Raw genomic sequence first — 16,346 nt, 5'->3', positions numbered from 1 at the left:
TTAACAAATGACAAAAATTTCCACCACAGAACAAAATGCAATCATAATCATCATAAAATTTTTATTAAAAAATAGGGAAATAGGAAGCAATATAATAGGCAGAAAAAATATTCCATACACTGTCAGTCAGAGATGTGATAGTGCATCCATTTTTTAATCATGTTCCTGGAGGTGGAGAGAGCTATAGGCTGAAAAGTTTCTTTTAGCTGTGTTTTCCTAGCTTGAGTGTTATTTTAGGTACTGTCCATATGACACTAAACTGGACAACAGATTCTTATTTTGAAAGTAATATCATATAGATATCTATGTTCCCATGAACCAGTTTTAAGCACAAAGGTGATGTGTTATGTATTGAGAAATATTGGACTCATTTTGGCCGGAATTGAGGTTTCTCAATACCTGTCCCTTAACACTTAAATGACCATATGTCATTTTCAATCTGGAGGGCTCCACTGCCAAACATTCAGTATTAGACTTCTCGCTGAGACAGCAATGCTTGAGTCTGGATGCTAAACTTGTGATTTTCTTCTTTCCCATCAACCACACATCTTTCTAATCAACAGTTTCTGTCTTGGTTTCTACCATAGACTAACATGAAACAACATACTCCCTTGGAAAAACAGTATTAATTGGCTTTATGTCCCCCAGGATACTTCCAAGTGGATTTTATTTATTGGAAGAATAATTCACAAGGGAATAGCTTAAGAATAAGTCTGGAAGAACTAGGTTTCCCCATATCCCTCTGGCTTTCCCAAATATCACTATTTCTAGTCTCCCCACTTGTCAGCTATCTAGAAGCATTGACCAGAGGCAAAATAACCTTTATTAGAAAAGTGATATAATTCCCTCTCTCTTTTTTTGCTTTCAAATGGCCTCGTTAAGTTGAAGCCTGTTGTATTCTTGTACATTGCTTCGCTCACAAAAGGTAGCAGACAAAATTCAATCACCATTTTTCTACTAAGTTTTCCAAATGTAATTCTTTTTAAGAAATGATGTGTAAGAATGACATGAATAAATCTATGAGGCTACAAAAGAAAATAAAATATAAACTGAAGGAATGGCGAGAATATATTCCTGGATGTGGAGATTTAATATTATAAAAGCATCTATTGTCACCATAGTAGTTTATAAATTCAACACAGAAAACCTTGTAAATAACTTGTCAAGCTGACTCTGAAATTTAGCCAAGAGAAATTATTAAGAATATTTTTAAAAGTGAAAAAGAAGAATGGTGGAGAAATGATCATAACAAATATTTGTATAAATATGTATAAACATGTCTATCAAGTACAAAAATACAGTACTTAAAACAATTGGTATCAGCTGAAGGCAGGGCAAAGATAAAACAGACAATTGAAAAACAAAACCAACCTGAGCATATATGATATTTAATATATTACAAGTTTGTCATTTTGAAGATATAGAACATTCTGTTTAACAAACTATATTAGGATGATTGTCTACACACATGGACTAAATAAAATTTGAGTTCCATATTATATATAAATAATATAATTCTAGATGCTCTAAAGACTTAAAAATAAAACATCATTAACATAGTGTAAATAAGAGAGGAAAAGATTAAAGCACCGAGCAGTCATTGGTTTGAATCTCTTGCAGAGGAAAGACAGAGGAAACTTATCTTTCTAGCTCAGGATCTGGCAACTCTCAGGGCCTTAACCCAAGAAGTTTCACATTTTGTGGTGTGTGTCTTGCAATATTGCTCAGGCTTTTTCACCACTGAAAAAGAGAATGGAAATGGTATTAAGAATAACAGACTCCAGGGACACAAATGTTGGAAATCTCTCTTTTTCTGTCTCTAACTCTGCCTATCCCTTTTGGTCAACATCATTTTCCACTACTGTGGGTTCTTTTCTCTTTATTACAGGGTCCATAAAAATATTCAAGATCCATATACCATAGTGATCCTAGATGATGAAGGATTATTTTTCTACGTTTTGGTATATAAAATGCTAGGGAAGGACTCAGATTAGCCTACTTCTGTTGCATTGTTCATATTTAACTTATAATCGAGACTAGGTATATGGGATGTGTATCACTTAACTGTAAACCAAATAATGCTGCATAAAGAACCAACCATAACATCTCAATACACCAGCATTTATTAAGCTCACAAGTCCAAAGGATAGCTCATCTGGTCTAGTCAGCTCAGCTCTGCTCCACACATCTGTCATCCTCCTTCTAGCTTAGACATGATCTTCTCATGGTGATGGCAGAGTCACAAGATGGCAAGAAGAAACATGCAAGGCTTCTTTGGGTCTAGGATTCTATCTAGCACACTGTCTATTCTACTTCATTTTATTCATCAAAGCAATTCACATGACTAAATCCAAAGTTAACTGAAATGATAGTAAATATACTGCACTTCTTTAAGTTCCTTCTTGTAAAGGAACTAAAGTATCACATAGCAAAGAGTATGAATCCAGAAGGAGTAAAGAATTGCAGCCAGTAATGGAAGTGAATCCAAGAAACAGTGAATAGTTCCACTGACATTTATGCTTACTCCCATGGTCTTAAAACAAGAGCCTGTTGTCAGAAGACAGAAAATGGGGGAGTTTGATAGAGCTAATGCTAACTTGACCACATACAAAATCACATATGTAAACTAGTTTTACAGACAGGTTTAATGGCATAAATTTGAAATCCTTTAAAGAAGAGAGGTACTTTCATTGTTAAAGTGTATAGATGTCCACAACTCCTTCATTCTCAGTAACCTCTTCTTTCTTCTAGACCTTAGTGTACTCTGCATATTAGAAATGAGTAAACAGCAAACCCATACCTTGCTGTTATCAGAGGGAATATTGAGCAGTATTACAGAGAAAGTGCGACAGAGTTCATATTTCTATTCAACTAACTGAAACTGGAAGTTACTTTTTCACCAAGTAGCATAAACTCTTCTGCTGCTACAGGGATTGCAGAGAATACACATGAACAAAAGATAGAATCTGTGGAAAGCTATATTATCATAAAAGTGAAAAACAATGGGTTGTTCACCAATTATTATTAGTTTTAGACTTTTTACTGGGTAGAAGCTCTAACAATACGTAGCATTGTTAGTAGAATAAATTTTAATAAACTGTGGCCTGTTTCTATGTGTCACAAATTATAGATAATTTTAATAAAATATGTAAAGCAATATAGAGATAATATTATTTTAAAATATTAATGCAGGCCTAATACAAGGAAATGATCTCCACTACAGAACTATAAAGGGACAAAAATGTATCAACATACCATATGAAAAATACAGAAAAATAAGTGTCATATGTCCTTAATGAAAATTAATATCACTTTATAAGTTTTCAAAGTTATTATTAGCTTTAAACACATAGTTTCTTTTTTTTTACATTTCAAAATATTCAAGTTAAGGAGGAGTTCTTTCATTTATTGTTATTGATAGATGTCTGGCCTGTTAGAAACAAAATACTGGTTAACAGTACAGACTTTTCATTCAGACACCTTGGTGTATTAACCTAGTACTCAACTACATGCTGTCTGTGTGCTGGAGCTCTAAAAGGAATAATCTTCCCCTGTGACCAGTGTTTGCAAGAGGTCAGGAGGTTAGACACATAATTACTGGGGTTATGTGGAGGTGGAGTAACAGGGTGGATGATGAATGGGCAATTAAAATATATTATCCAACTTACATTAAACACTATCAACCCATTACTTTCTGTTAAATTCCTCTATTTTAGGTCCTTCATGCCACTTACTAATATTACTATTTACTTATTCTATTTATTTTTAATGCCTACTAATTATAAGCCTTATGATGAGGGGAAATATAAGCTATGTTTCCTGCTGTATCCCCAGAGTACAGAATAGTGTAGGATCATAGTACACAATCAATGTATGTTTGTTAAATCAATTTGTTATCTACTATTCAATCAGGTAATGAACAAAGAAACTTAGAAGAGAACAGGAAATTTGGAACCTTGTTATCTTACATTCTAATTATGTCTGTGTGTGTGTGTGTGTGTACATGTGTGTGTGTAAATTTATACATGCTAATATGTCTGTATGAATTAAAGTCCCACTATTCTCTCTTTTTAACATTTCTTTTGTGGATATCATGTAAACTTGGCCTATGTCAATAACTAATCATGACCTGCAAACATTACTGTTGACTCAAAAATGATTCAATTCTCGCAGGAAGTAATTTACACATTAAGAGAACTGACTATCTTAGGAGGTCATTTTTACAATTAATGTAAAACTGTCCTTGATCATACAGATCGATGAGCCCCATTTGCCTCCATCTGTAGGCTTTACCATGTGTATTATTGCCTTTGATGCATTGATTGAAGAGGAAAGAGTTAATGTAGCTCCAAAAATGCACTATACATTCTGATCCAAGATATTAAGGATGTTTTAGATTCCACCAGGGAAAACACTAAAACATAAATAGAAATGAATTATGGTGTTATTTAATTAACTGGGAAGTTCAATGTGCACTAGAGACAATTTATTACAATAAATAGAGCATCCTATCCTTGCAGTGCATTGTAATGAATATAAATCAAGGATTTTTTTTTTCCTCAAAGAAAAACATTCACCAATTTCCTATAAACTGTACCTAAGGGCCTCATTAAATTAATACTTCACTAGAATGCTTCATTATTTTGCAGACATTATATTATGGGGCATCTCTACCACATTCAACATCATTCATCACTGGTTTCTCAGTGAAACACTCCTCTTTTAACTCACATGAGATCTGTGCTCTCCTGGTTCTCCTCATAACTTTCTATAATTGCTCCTGTTCAGTCTTCCTCATAGCTTCTTCCAATAATTATCTCTTAACTGTTGAGGGTTCCCAGAGTTTTCTTCACGCCACAATTTTCTCTAAGCACAGCATACTGAAAAAGTACTTATCATTTCTCCTAAAATTAATCTCAACTTCAATAATTAACCTTTCATTTGGTGGCATGATCATTCAGTCTGTTATTCAAGCTAGAATACTTGAGTTCACTCTATCTCATCCCTCTCCCTTTTTGCCACATCCATTTAATCCAGACTTCTGTTCTCTTTGTCTCTACAATGTATTTCAAGTCTATCTTCTCCATCTCAATCCTACCATGGATCCAATGAACACATTCGTTTATCTCATTTGAATTGCCTCCACAGTCCTCCAGCCAATTTTGCTCCATCCCCACACCGCCTGAGAATTTCAATTCAAATTCATCTTTTGCAGTTGTTTTTAAAATATCTGGAAAAAGATGGAGTAAAGATTGTGATATTAAGTAACCCTGTCATATTTGTGCTGAATTTTTGCCTATTCGTTGCATATTCTCATGCCAAACTCACAGTATACAAAAACTACCAACATCTGGGATAGTAAATGATATTTGAAATAAATTGCTTTACCACATATCTAGAGAATAACAATCAACAGGATACATAATACAGATAAATAATATATGACTGTTACAATGCTCAGTTCTTCCTATGAAACTGATTCTTTTTAAATTGTCTGAAAGAATATTTTTTCATCATGCCACTCACTTATTCAAAAAATTTTAATTATTTGAATTAAATTATTATTTATAATAATTAAATTTTAATTATTTGAATTAAATTATTGCTTTTAATGTCATGTGTAAACTAGTTAATTATTTAAAGCATTGTTATTTTATCTCACTGTATCTTTTAAATTGTGGCCTCTACTACTTGTAGCCTCAAACTCTGATTTAATCAATTTTTTAAAAAAATTTCAAAATATTGTGCACAATTTTGACTTTGCACTTCTCTTTTAATAACATTTGTTTGTCACCACCATTCAACTTCATCGTCCAAACCTATAAATCTTTCAAGGCCTAACTGAAGTCCAACCACTTTCCCTGAAGTCATTCCAGAACTATTTAGTTCCTTGAGTTATTGCCATTCTCAGAGAATTATTGCCTGAAATTTTAATTTGTTAATTAATTGTATATGGTGCAATCTTTCTAACTCTTTAATATTTTTAATTTTAATATTTTATTTATGCTCGATGTTACTACATTTTGTTTCTGAGAGCAAATACTCTGTTTCATAGCTATTTATAACTTATTGGATGTCTTCCATGATCTACAATGGCCTTGAATTTTATTTTAAAGATAAGGATTTAATCATCATATTATTATACTAATGTACTTGTCTCCTCAGATTTTATTTTTGTCCAATAATACAACAGAGTTTAAAAATATTTATAGATCATGTAAAAAGTACTTAAATAGAAATTATGAAAATAAAGTTGTACAGATTCTCTACATCTTGTATTTATTTTTAAAAATGTAACTTTTTTGAGGTAGAATACATTATATCAAAATGATTTTACACAATCATGCTAATTTTTAATTTTTATTTTATTTTATCTCAGTAAATAATTTGAAAATGATTATGAAATACTATTAAGTTTATCCACCACTGTTGAAATAGTATAAAGTGTGCCAACTTGCTACATAAATACAACTTGAAACTTTTATTCTAGAGGCAGGCACAGTCAACTGATCTGCATATAACAATACAACCAGCAAATGAAATAGACAAAATGGAGTATCACAAATCAATTTTTCAAGCTTCTACCAAAATAGCTGAAATGGCCTCCTCATAAATTAATTAAGAACTAAGGTAAGATGCTTAATAGAATGTAAAACCTTAGATATAATTTTAATTTTCAGAGGTTCAGAATGCACAGAAATTTTTTTCTTCATTTTTAATAGTCTCGGGTAGTTGGAGAATTGCAGAATGAAAACAGTAGGCAAACAGTAGTAGAAATATTCTTTTCCATTTTTATGGTTGTAATGAGTTATAATATAGGCTTTTTTGAGCTTATTAAATGTCCCCGTAGGATCCTGGCCACTTTCATTTGGAATACAATAGAATGCTTGCACTTGAGCTACATATCTTTTGAAATTAGCAGAATACAAAGCAGCCCTAATATTCAGACTGTCCTGTCAGTAATTTCTATTGAGATTATTGTCTTAGTACATTTAGGAATCTGGCTGACAAGAGGCATTTAATGAAACTTTTTATGACACACCATTCTTTTTTGTTAAATGAACACAAAGAGATCTAGACATAGCACTGTTACAGAGAGTAATTTATAAATTTTTCAATTATTAAAATGCTTTTTTCTAAATGGGTTTCAGAACTATCAAACATTTTACCTTCAAAACTACAAACATTATAAGTAAAGAAGTACCATTTTTCTTACATTGGCAGGTCACTAATAATTTTTGAACCTAAATTTTGAGCATTCCTAGAATCTTTTAAAGTCAAGAAAATTGTTGAAATGACTATGTTGTAAAAATTATATAAATACACTCTAAAAAGCAATCCAAATATTCGGATACAAGGTGGCATATATTACAGGGAAATACATATAATAAAATAACAATAAAACTGAGTGGATACTAAAAGCAGAGGTATTTGAATTAAAATATAATTCATTTCCTAAAATATAGGTTATTTGTTGATAATCTGATACTGATAATTCTATAGAATTAAATTCATAGATTAGAAATTTGTACCAATTAAAGATGACGTTTTCTAATGTATTAGGAACCAACCTGATAATTTCTTGCTTGTAACATTATTACTCTCCATGAAGATAAGATCACCAGTAGTGAGAGTTAGGAGTCACTTCAGATAACTAGAACTTAACCACTCTTTATTGCAATTCAATTTGACTTGAGAAAGGCAAATTATAACTAGAGTTTCTTATATCAACATATATAATGTATCAAACTTTGAATAAAAATATAATTATCAAAGCAAATATAATGAAATCACAGGAAAGAACAACAGCATGTATTTCTGAATCAATTTTGTGTCCTAGGTCCCTTTGAAAAATTAATGAAAGATATGGACCCTCTATTTAGAAAAAGTAGATATTCACTTAAACAAAAATATAAGTTACAAAAGTTTAATCAATCCCATAATACCTGGCCATGGACTCAAAGAGGTCCATGAAGACCAAAGTTATTATTCTGTGTTGATCTAATGCAAGTTTGAAACACTAGATAGAATGCAGCAGTTTGATGTAAAATAAAAACAAAAATTATAAACATACTGCTTTAAATCATTTGAATATGAGTTGAAAAGGGGAAAATAAAGAAGAAAGGAACAAAAAATTAAAGAGAAAGGAAAAGGAGATTAAGGCATTCCCACTTCTCTGATAAAAATTCAACCTCTAACATCACTTCTTAAAGCAGGCATCCCCAATCCCTGAGCCATGGACCACCAGTACTGGTCCCTAGCTTGTTAGGAACTCAGATGCATACCAGAAGATGAGTGGCCAGTGAGCCAGTATTACTGCCTGAGCTCCACCTTCTGTCAGATCAGCAGCAGCGATCACAATAGGAATGAAAACTCTATTGTGAACTGCCCGTGTGAAGGATCTAGGTGGCACACTTCTTGTGAGAATCTAACTAATGCCCGATGATCTGAAGCGGAACAGTTTCATTCCAAAACTATCCCTTTCATTCCCATTCGTGGAAAAACTGTCTTCCATGAAATCAGTCCCAGTCCAAAAGGCTGGGCACCGCTGTCCTAAAGTATAATTATAATAAAGAGAGACAGGCACAGTACACACAGTTGTGCCAACTGATCAAACGATATGTGAAAATTATAATTCATTATCGAAGTTTTGCTTTGATCCCTTTAGTCATGCATACACTTGAATGGCGTGTGCATCTAAAAAAGTTGTGATTGAAGACAAAAAAAAAGAGTTCCTTTTCCGGACCTTATTTTTTTTAATTGAGTTTACATTTAGAGTAGTTTTAAGTTCAGATCAAAAGTGAACAGAAAGTTAGTACAGAGTTTCCACATCTCCCTTCCTATCTTCCCTGCTCCACAACCCACAGAGACAGCTTTCCCATTTGACGTCTTGCACCAGTACGGATATTTGTTACAAAAAATTAACCAACCCTGACACATCATTATCACCCAAAAGTCCATAGTTTACCTGATGGATCCTTCTTTGTGTTGTACATTCTTTGGGTCTTGACAAATGTATAATGACATATATGCTCCACATTAGTATCATGTAAAACAGTTTCACTGCCCTGAAAATCCTCTGTGCTCCATCTATGCATCCCTCCTTATCCTGCAAATCCCTGTAAATCATTGATTTTTTTTTTACTGCCTTCATGGTTTTACCTTTTTAAGAATGTCATGTAGTTGAAATTATGCAGTAGGTAGCCTTTTCAGATTGGCTTTTAAGTTTCCTTCATTTCTTCTTGCAGTATCATAGTTTATCTCCTTTTAGTGCTATAATATTCCATTGTCTGGATGTACTACAATTTATTTGTCCATTTACCTACTGAAGGATATCTTGGTTGCTTCTAAGTTTTGGTAACTCTAAATAAAGCTATTATAAACATTTGTGTGCAGGTTTTTGTGTTGACAGAAGTTTCAAGAGTGTGATTGCTGGATCACATGGTAAGAGCATGTTAAGTTTTGTAAGAAAATGCCAACCTCTCTTTTAAAGTGACTATACATTCTGCATTTCCACCAACAATATAAGAGAGTTCCTGTTGCTCCACATCCTCACTAGCATTTGGTGTTGTCAGTGTTTTGGATTTTAGCCATTCTAACAGGTTTGTAGTAGTATCTTATTGTTGTTTGAATTTGAAATTATCTAAATACATATGTTGTTTACATGCCCTTATGTTGAAAAATATGAGAAATAAATTGTATCTGCTTCACTTATTTTTCTGGGAAATCTTTCTGACACAGTGAGATGAATGATAAAAGTTCTTCAATTATGTCCTCTCATTATTTTTGATTTGTAACTAAACAATGTTTGAATTGCCTTAATAAGATTCTTGAGATAGTAAATTACTACAATCTCCTGATGTGACCCCCGTGGAAAATTTAAAAATTTTCAAATTAAGTCATGTATTTGTAGGTTCAGATGTGGGCTCTATTTTTCAGATAATATATTCCCCATATCATTAGGTGCATCCAAAGTTGACCAGAGGAGAATATGATTTCCATAGATGAAACAATAATGTTGACAGTCTTTCAGTAATTGTCATCAGATTGAAGCAATTAATAAGTGTGCAGTGTTAAATTAATTACATTTATTTTTCACAGGTGACTTTTAAAAAGTTTGGGTATTTTTTTTCTTTTGAGGGGAGAGGCTTAAAAAACAAATTTTGTTCCTAATTATTTTTAAAAAATGTTAATTCAGAAACATTTAACAGATTTCATTTAAACTCATATGGTCATAAAAGTCAAACTATCAAACAAAAATAGCATTGTGCACTTAACCACTTTTAATGATGAACCTTTAAGAGGAAACATGTAGAGACTCCTACACAATTTGGGAGCCATTAGGCAACATATATTTAATATTAAGCAAAGACAGCATTAAAAACTAAAAATCCTCAAATTTCAAGAGAATGCCTGATCAAGTCTTTGATATGCATTTGCACATGAGAAAAGAAATATTTTAATTTAAAAGAAACCAAGTCTGAGTGCTTACCCTTTCTTCAAATATAATCTCCTGTCTACCCTTCATTTTATGACTGCATACCCCTCACTCTACTTCATCTACACTGAACCAGTGTTAGTTCAGCATGATTGGCTTCACTCAAAGCCCTCTAGATCCCATTTCATATATCCCATCGACCACCATTATCCCCTTACATGTTTGCACAACCTTATACTGAGTATTACATTGTAACAGAGCTTGGGAATTTCAGTTATCCAAAGGTAATTATATATACACACGATTCTGTTTTATTGCACAGTTCACAATATAGCCGGTGATTATACTGGCAACCATGTTAAGATGAATATCGACTATGCAGACAAAAACATTGATTTTGTCCCCAACCACAAATGAAACAAGAAAGACACACATATTCGCCACCATATAAAGGTTGTGTTTACTCTGTGGTGCAGTCATGAAGGCTCATATCACTCTCAGTGTGTTAAATACAGAATTCATAACATTTCTGGTGGCATCACACATGAAGTATAGGACACAAGACCATAAATGTCCTGCACTCATGAGCCATTTGTGCCACATACGTAACAGAAAGGCCACTTTTAAAGCTATTCAGATATTCAATCATGTTTGCCCTTTTAATTTTTTTTTCTTTTTTTGAGACAGAGTATTGTTCTGTAGCCTAGGCTGCAGTGCAGTGGTGAGATCTTGGCTCACTGCAACCTCTGCCTCCCGGGTTCGAGCGATTCTCCTGCCTCAGCCTCCCAAGTAGCTGGGATCACAGGCATTGGCCACCATGCCTGGCTAATTTTTTGTATTTTTAGTAGAGATGGGGTTTCACCATGTTGGCCAGGCTGGTCTCGAACTCCTGACCTAAAGTGATCCACCCACCTTGGCCTCCCAAAGTGCTGGGATTACAGGCATGAGCCACCGTGCCGGCCTGCCTTTTCAAAATTATTACCACACTAGTTCACATTGAAGGTAAAAACAACAGTTAGAATCTCTTACTAACAACACATTTTGACTTCAAGCTCAGACAAAGCTGTTGGTTACAAGTTCTGTTGAATTTTTTTGTCAAATTTAAAAAGTCTATAGGACAACACAAAACCATCCCTGGTAATGTATTTGCAGTTTGGTCTTCAAAAGCTGTAAAGAGTGACACAGAAATAAAAAAAAATACTAAGTTAAAAACCATTAAAAGTATTTATTAATAATTGTTTTTAAACATCACTTATTTGAGACAGCAGAAACCAAAGAGTTTTCCTTAGAATTCTCACTTAGCTTGTATTTCACAAAAGTGAAATCTGCTTTAGAACTCAGATTTTTACCATCTGTATGGAGTGTAAAGACAAAAGGAAGCCCAACAAACCAAAGGCCCAATGGTGTCTATTCCCAGGGCCAAGGTATTAGCCCAGGCTAACCCACCTGCCCTGTGCTGAGTAGCTGGATACGCTTGTCAGTGCTCAGAGTCATGCACATGAATTAGTGGGTCAGGCACCAAGGTGCCTTTATTCATTTATTTCTCAAATTCAACTCCCTTCAAATCCTGACTCTGTTTAATAGGTCAAAGGATGCTATTCATCTTTATTTGGTGCCAAATTATTATTTTTTAATCCTTACCTCTACACCTTGAATGTAAACTGCAATATCCAGCACAATATCGTCAGACAGAGGTGCTGTATGGTTACTTAGCTTCATTACTGCCTGGCTAATGCTTAATATGCTTCATCCTTTACAGCTGAAAGAAGGATGTTCACTGTATTTAACCAGCCATACTGCATTTAGATGTAAACAGCTTTTATGGGCTATTTGCCCAGAAACTTTCAGTAAACTACCAAGTTGAGGCCCTGATTTTATTTTGGTCAGTATGTGCAAATATTCACATGCAGTTACTCAGAAAGAAGAAAAACTGGTTAACAAGAAACCTACCACCATGCCAGATGCTGGAAATAAATCTTTACAGAAAGGGTTTTAAGATTCATAATCCACTTTTTCAGTCTGTCTCTTATATTTCATTAGTCAATTGGAAGTGCCATATGAATCATTTTGCTTTATCTGGAAAAAATATTTTCACATTTTCCAATTCCTTTGACAAAGAAGTTTTCGTCTATTAAGGGATGAGAATGCTATTTGGCTATTGCCTACTTTTAGAATTCAAACTAACTCTTCAAATGTCTTCATTTAGAGCATATTCTCTCAAACTATCTTATTGTTTTACTAACACAACGGTAAAATTGGGTTTCCAAAATGTCAAAACCCTAATGGAGTCTCTATTTCCAAAGGTGAAATAAAAGACAGCCAACACTGTGAAAACTATCCTGAGCCTTTTTCCCACTCTGAAACATTTAGAAACTAGGGGGAAAAAAAAGTGGGATTGCATTAACAGACTTCCAAAACAAAATGTTATGGAAGTGTTTATCTTTTAAAAGGAGAGTTTTAAGGGAACAGGATGCTTGAGTATGACCAACTCCTGCTCAACAGGAAAAATAACCACAGACCTTTGCTGAGATGGCCCCAATAATTCAAAGAAACCAAGCTAACCAGAATTTGATCTATACACAATTAGTATGAAAATTTCTTAACAAGATGGAACACCTATAACAACATTTAAGTCCCTTCATCTTTTGGCAATGAAATAAGTGAAATCAACATAAGGATATTTTGGAAGCATTGAAGGTCACAGTCAGAATCAAACAGAAAACTTTCAAAACTAGAAAGCAAAATGGGAACTTTCATAACTCCTTGATCTACCATATCTAAACAGAAATAGTATAATGACTATACAATAGGTACTTAGTTTCAAAACGAATACAAGCAATTTATCATGAAACGCCTACACCTAATAAGCTGTTTTTCTTCTTTGTTCTGCCCCATTGTCATATGCTTGAGCTTAATGAAGACTATGCTCTGCAGCTGCTCCTGAAGGCAGAGACGCAAGCAATGGAGTAACAAAGGAAGCCTGAGGAGCCCCTGGCACCCGAGGACCTTCTCTCTGGCCGTTCACAGCCACTTATGTTTCAATGCAGAAGATTTCAAGACTGGTTTGAGAAAAATAATCCTGTTTTGGGGATTAGGTTCCCTGTCAAAGGCCATCAGATGGACAGCTATTTATCAGGCAATTAGCCTAAGGCTCTTAGGTAATGATAAAAAAAAAAAACAAAAAAATCAAAAAAAAAAAAAAACAGAAAACAAAACAAAAAAATCCCTTATATTTTCCTATTGGAATCTTTTATTCTGTTTTATTGAGGCTTAAGCAAAACAGCTTTGCCCATAACTCACTGTGGCCTGGAGTTATGACACCAACTTGTATTTGGCCAACTAAGAAAGAGGCCAAACTGCATTCTTCTTAGAAGGTCTATTCAGTTGATAAATGGCACTAAACTGTTGGTTTTTTTCATATAACCTTTACTCATAAGTTGCATTGATTATGCTCTAAGAGATAAGGGACTGATGGTAATTCAAATGGGCACCTCTGAAAAGATTTATCAGTTTTCTGTCCCGTTCCAGCCAGATTTTTTGGAAAACCTTGGGGAAAGACTGAAATTCCCCACCAATCTGAGACTGTATGCGAGTTTTTACATTAATTGGAAAAAAACAAGAATCCCAACATGGCACCCAGTGGACCTCCACAGATAAAATTATTGACCAAATGAGCACTGTGAGTCGTTTCTGTAGGCAGATGCTCCTTAATGGGACCTCAAAGCCCGCAAAACAAGACATTACTGAGTCCATTCTGGAAAAGAATGGGCACCAAGCCTCGATAATACTCTCCAATTCCATGACATTTCAGTGCCTTGAAGGCCTGATAAGTGTTGGTAAATCTGTCATGATGCTTGTGGTCTTGAATCAACGTCTGAACTATTTCCGGTGGAGTGAAAATTGCTTCTGTTGTCCCTGCGAGCACTGCCGCCATGCAACAGGTTGCAAACTCTGGAGCACTGACATGCTTGTGGAGAAGGCAGGATAAATCCTCATAGAGACCGAACGTAAGTGCAAGTGTAGCTGTCTTCTGCATCAATGGGGGAAGGATTCCAGGATACAAGTTTCGAAATCCATCCCTTCTCAACTAAAATATTGCATCCCGGGTTTTGATGCCATACAGCTGTTGTCGAAAGAGGACCGTCTGAATGGGATATGTGATTGCGATGTTGTTGAAGGCTGCGCAGCAGCCACACAAGTAATGCTTCATTTCACCAACATTTGTAATACGAGGTGATATATCTTGTTCTGAAGATGTTAGTGTTGGTGGCCTCTTTTCATGAGCTTCTGAATCCATCGTGTTGCTTAAGGTCTTTCATTTTCATGAAGGACTAACTTTTTTTAACCTGTAAGACAATCTGAGCCTGGAGTTTGGCAGGATGATAGCTTTTTGATAATGTTCTCAATTTCCTCCATTGTTATTGTTCTGTTAGTTTCTCTCTTCTGGAGTCAATTTTGATAACTGGATTTCCATTCTCCAGGCGCCCATCTCCCCAACCTGTGAAAAGCGGGGAGGGGGTTGGACAAGATCACTAAGTCCTCCTCCGTCTGACACTCCACAGTCAAGGGGTCCCGAGGTCAGGAGGCCGAAATCAGTCTCCCCGGAAACAGGGCCCCTTGCGCGGTGCCAGCCCCGCTCTGCCCCGGGCGCAGGCAGAGCCCGGCTCCTCCCCGCCCCTGCGGTTTCTGCGCACCAGGGAGGAGCCTCCCCAGACCGGGGCGTGACCGAATGAAGGCACAGCCTCCTTCCCGGGAAAGGTCGCCCAGCAGCCGGATAAACACCCGCAACAGGCGGGAGAGCCGGGAGGCGAGGAGGCTCAGAACTGATTCTGCGCGCGCCGCCTGGGTGGGGTCCACAGCGACTGGGCCAGGGCAGCCGGCGCGCGCAGAGGACTGGGGTGGACCCCTAGAGCGGTCGGCTGCCCAGACCGGCCCTGTTGTGTTTTTTCTAATCCTCTTGTTGGGAACAAACAAGTTCGTTGTAGGGTGAGGTAAGGTAAATTGCTTTTACCTTTCTCTCGTTGTGAAGTGGATCTCAAAATACTGGTGTTTGGTTTTTACTTTGTGTTAAATGCTAGGAGAAACCTTAAACTTTGTTGGCTCAGTGCTTCATTTGCTGCCTAAATTAGACAAGATCTCATTAGGATGGAAAATGTGTGCCTCCCTCCTCAAAAAAAAAAAAAAAAAAAAAGGTTTTGAAGCTCTAACTCCCAGCTTAAATATATTTGAAGATGGAGCCTCTAATTAAGTAATTATGGTGAAATGCGGTCATAATGGTCGGACTCTGTTTCGACAAGATTAGTGTCTTTATAAGAAAAGACACCAGAGAGGTCGCTCACTCTCTTAGTGCGCTGAGGAAAGGCCATGTGAGGTTACATAAAATGGAAGCCAGTTACAAGTCAGGAGGCGAGGCCTTGGCAGAAATCGAATAAACAAGCACCTTGATCGTGGACTTCTAGCCTCTACAATTGTGAGAAAATTGATTTCTTGTTGTTTAGGCCATCCAATCTGTGGTATTTTGTTATGACTGCCCAAGAAGACTAATAGGATCAGATGGGCTTAAAATACTATCACAGGATCCTTGGGGTGTCACTGTGCCAGCCAGAAAGCTGTGTGGGCTGCAGCATCTCTGTGTGAGTATTGCTTGCGCCGCTGGGCTCCTTTTGCCCGGCCCGCTAGGCTTAGCAGGCTGCGCTCCTCTCTTGCTACCGGCCTGGATCCCACGCCTGCTAAGGGAGAGCCAGGCACAGAGCACCAGGGGAGGGGTGTGTGGGTGAGCAAGCATGGGGTCTGGTCACTGCGCACAGCCAGGCATATTTTAGGAAAATCATAAGTTAATTTTAGCCAAATATTATGCTCTTACCATGGAGTGACCATGGAAGCCAAGAATAATACTATTGATAAAAGC

General features: G+C 35.8%; 1 pseudogene across 1 annotated transcript; it reads right to left on the bottom strand.

Moving 5' to 3' along the window:
* Positions 1 to 13,668: 13,668 nt before the first annotated feature.
* On the bottom strand, positions 13,669 to 15,273 carry SLC25A51P1 (SLC25A51 pseudogene 1; annotated as a pseudogene). Its single transcript, NR_026540.1, has one exon. The product of NR_026540.1 is annotated as an SLC25A51 pseudogene 1 (transcript).
* Positions 15,274 to 16,346: the final 1,073 nt, after the last annotated feature.

Source organism: Homo sapiens, chromosome 6 (genome assembly GCF_000001405.40).
Source record: "Homo sapiens chromosome 6, GRCh38.p14 Primary Assembly".
NCBI classification, from domain to species: Eukaryota; Metazoa; Chordata; class Mammalia; order Primates; family Hominidae; genus Homo; species Homo sapiens.
The sequence above is the reverse complement of the archived record's forward strand: the minus strand, read 5'-3'. Positions and strand labels throughout refer to the sequence as shown.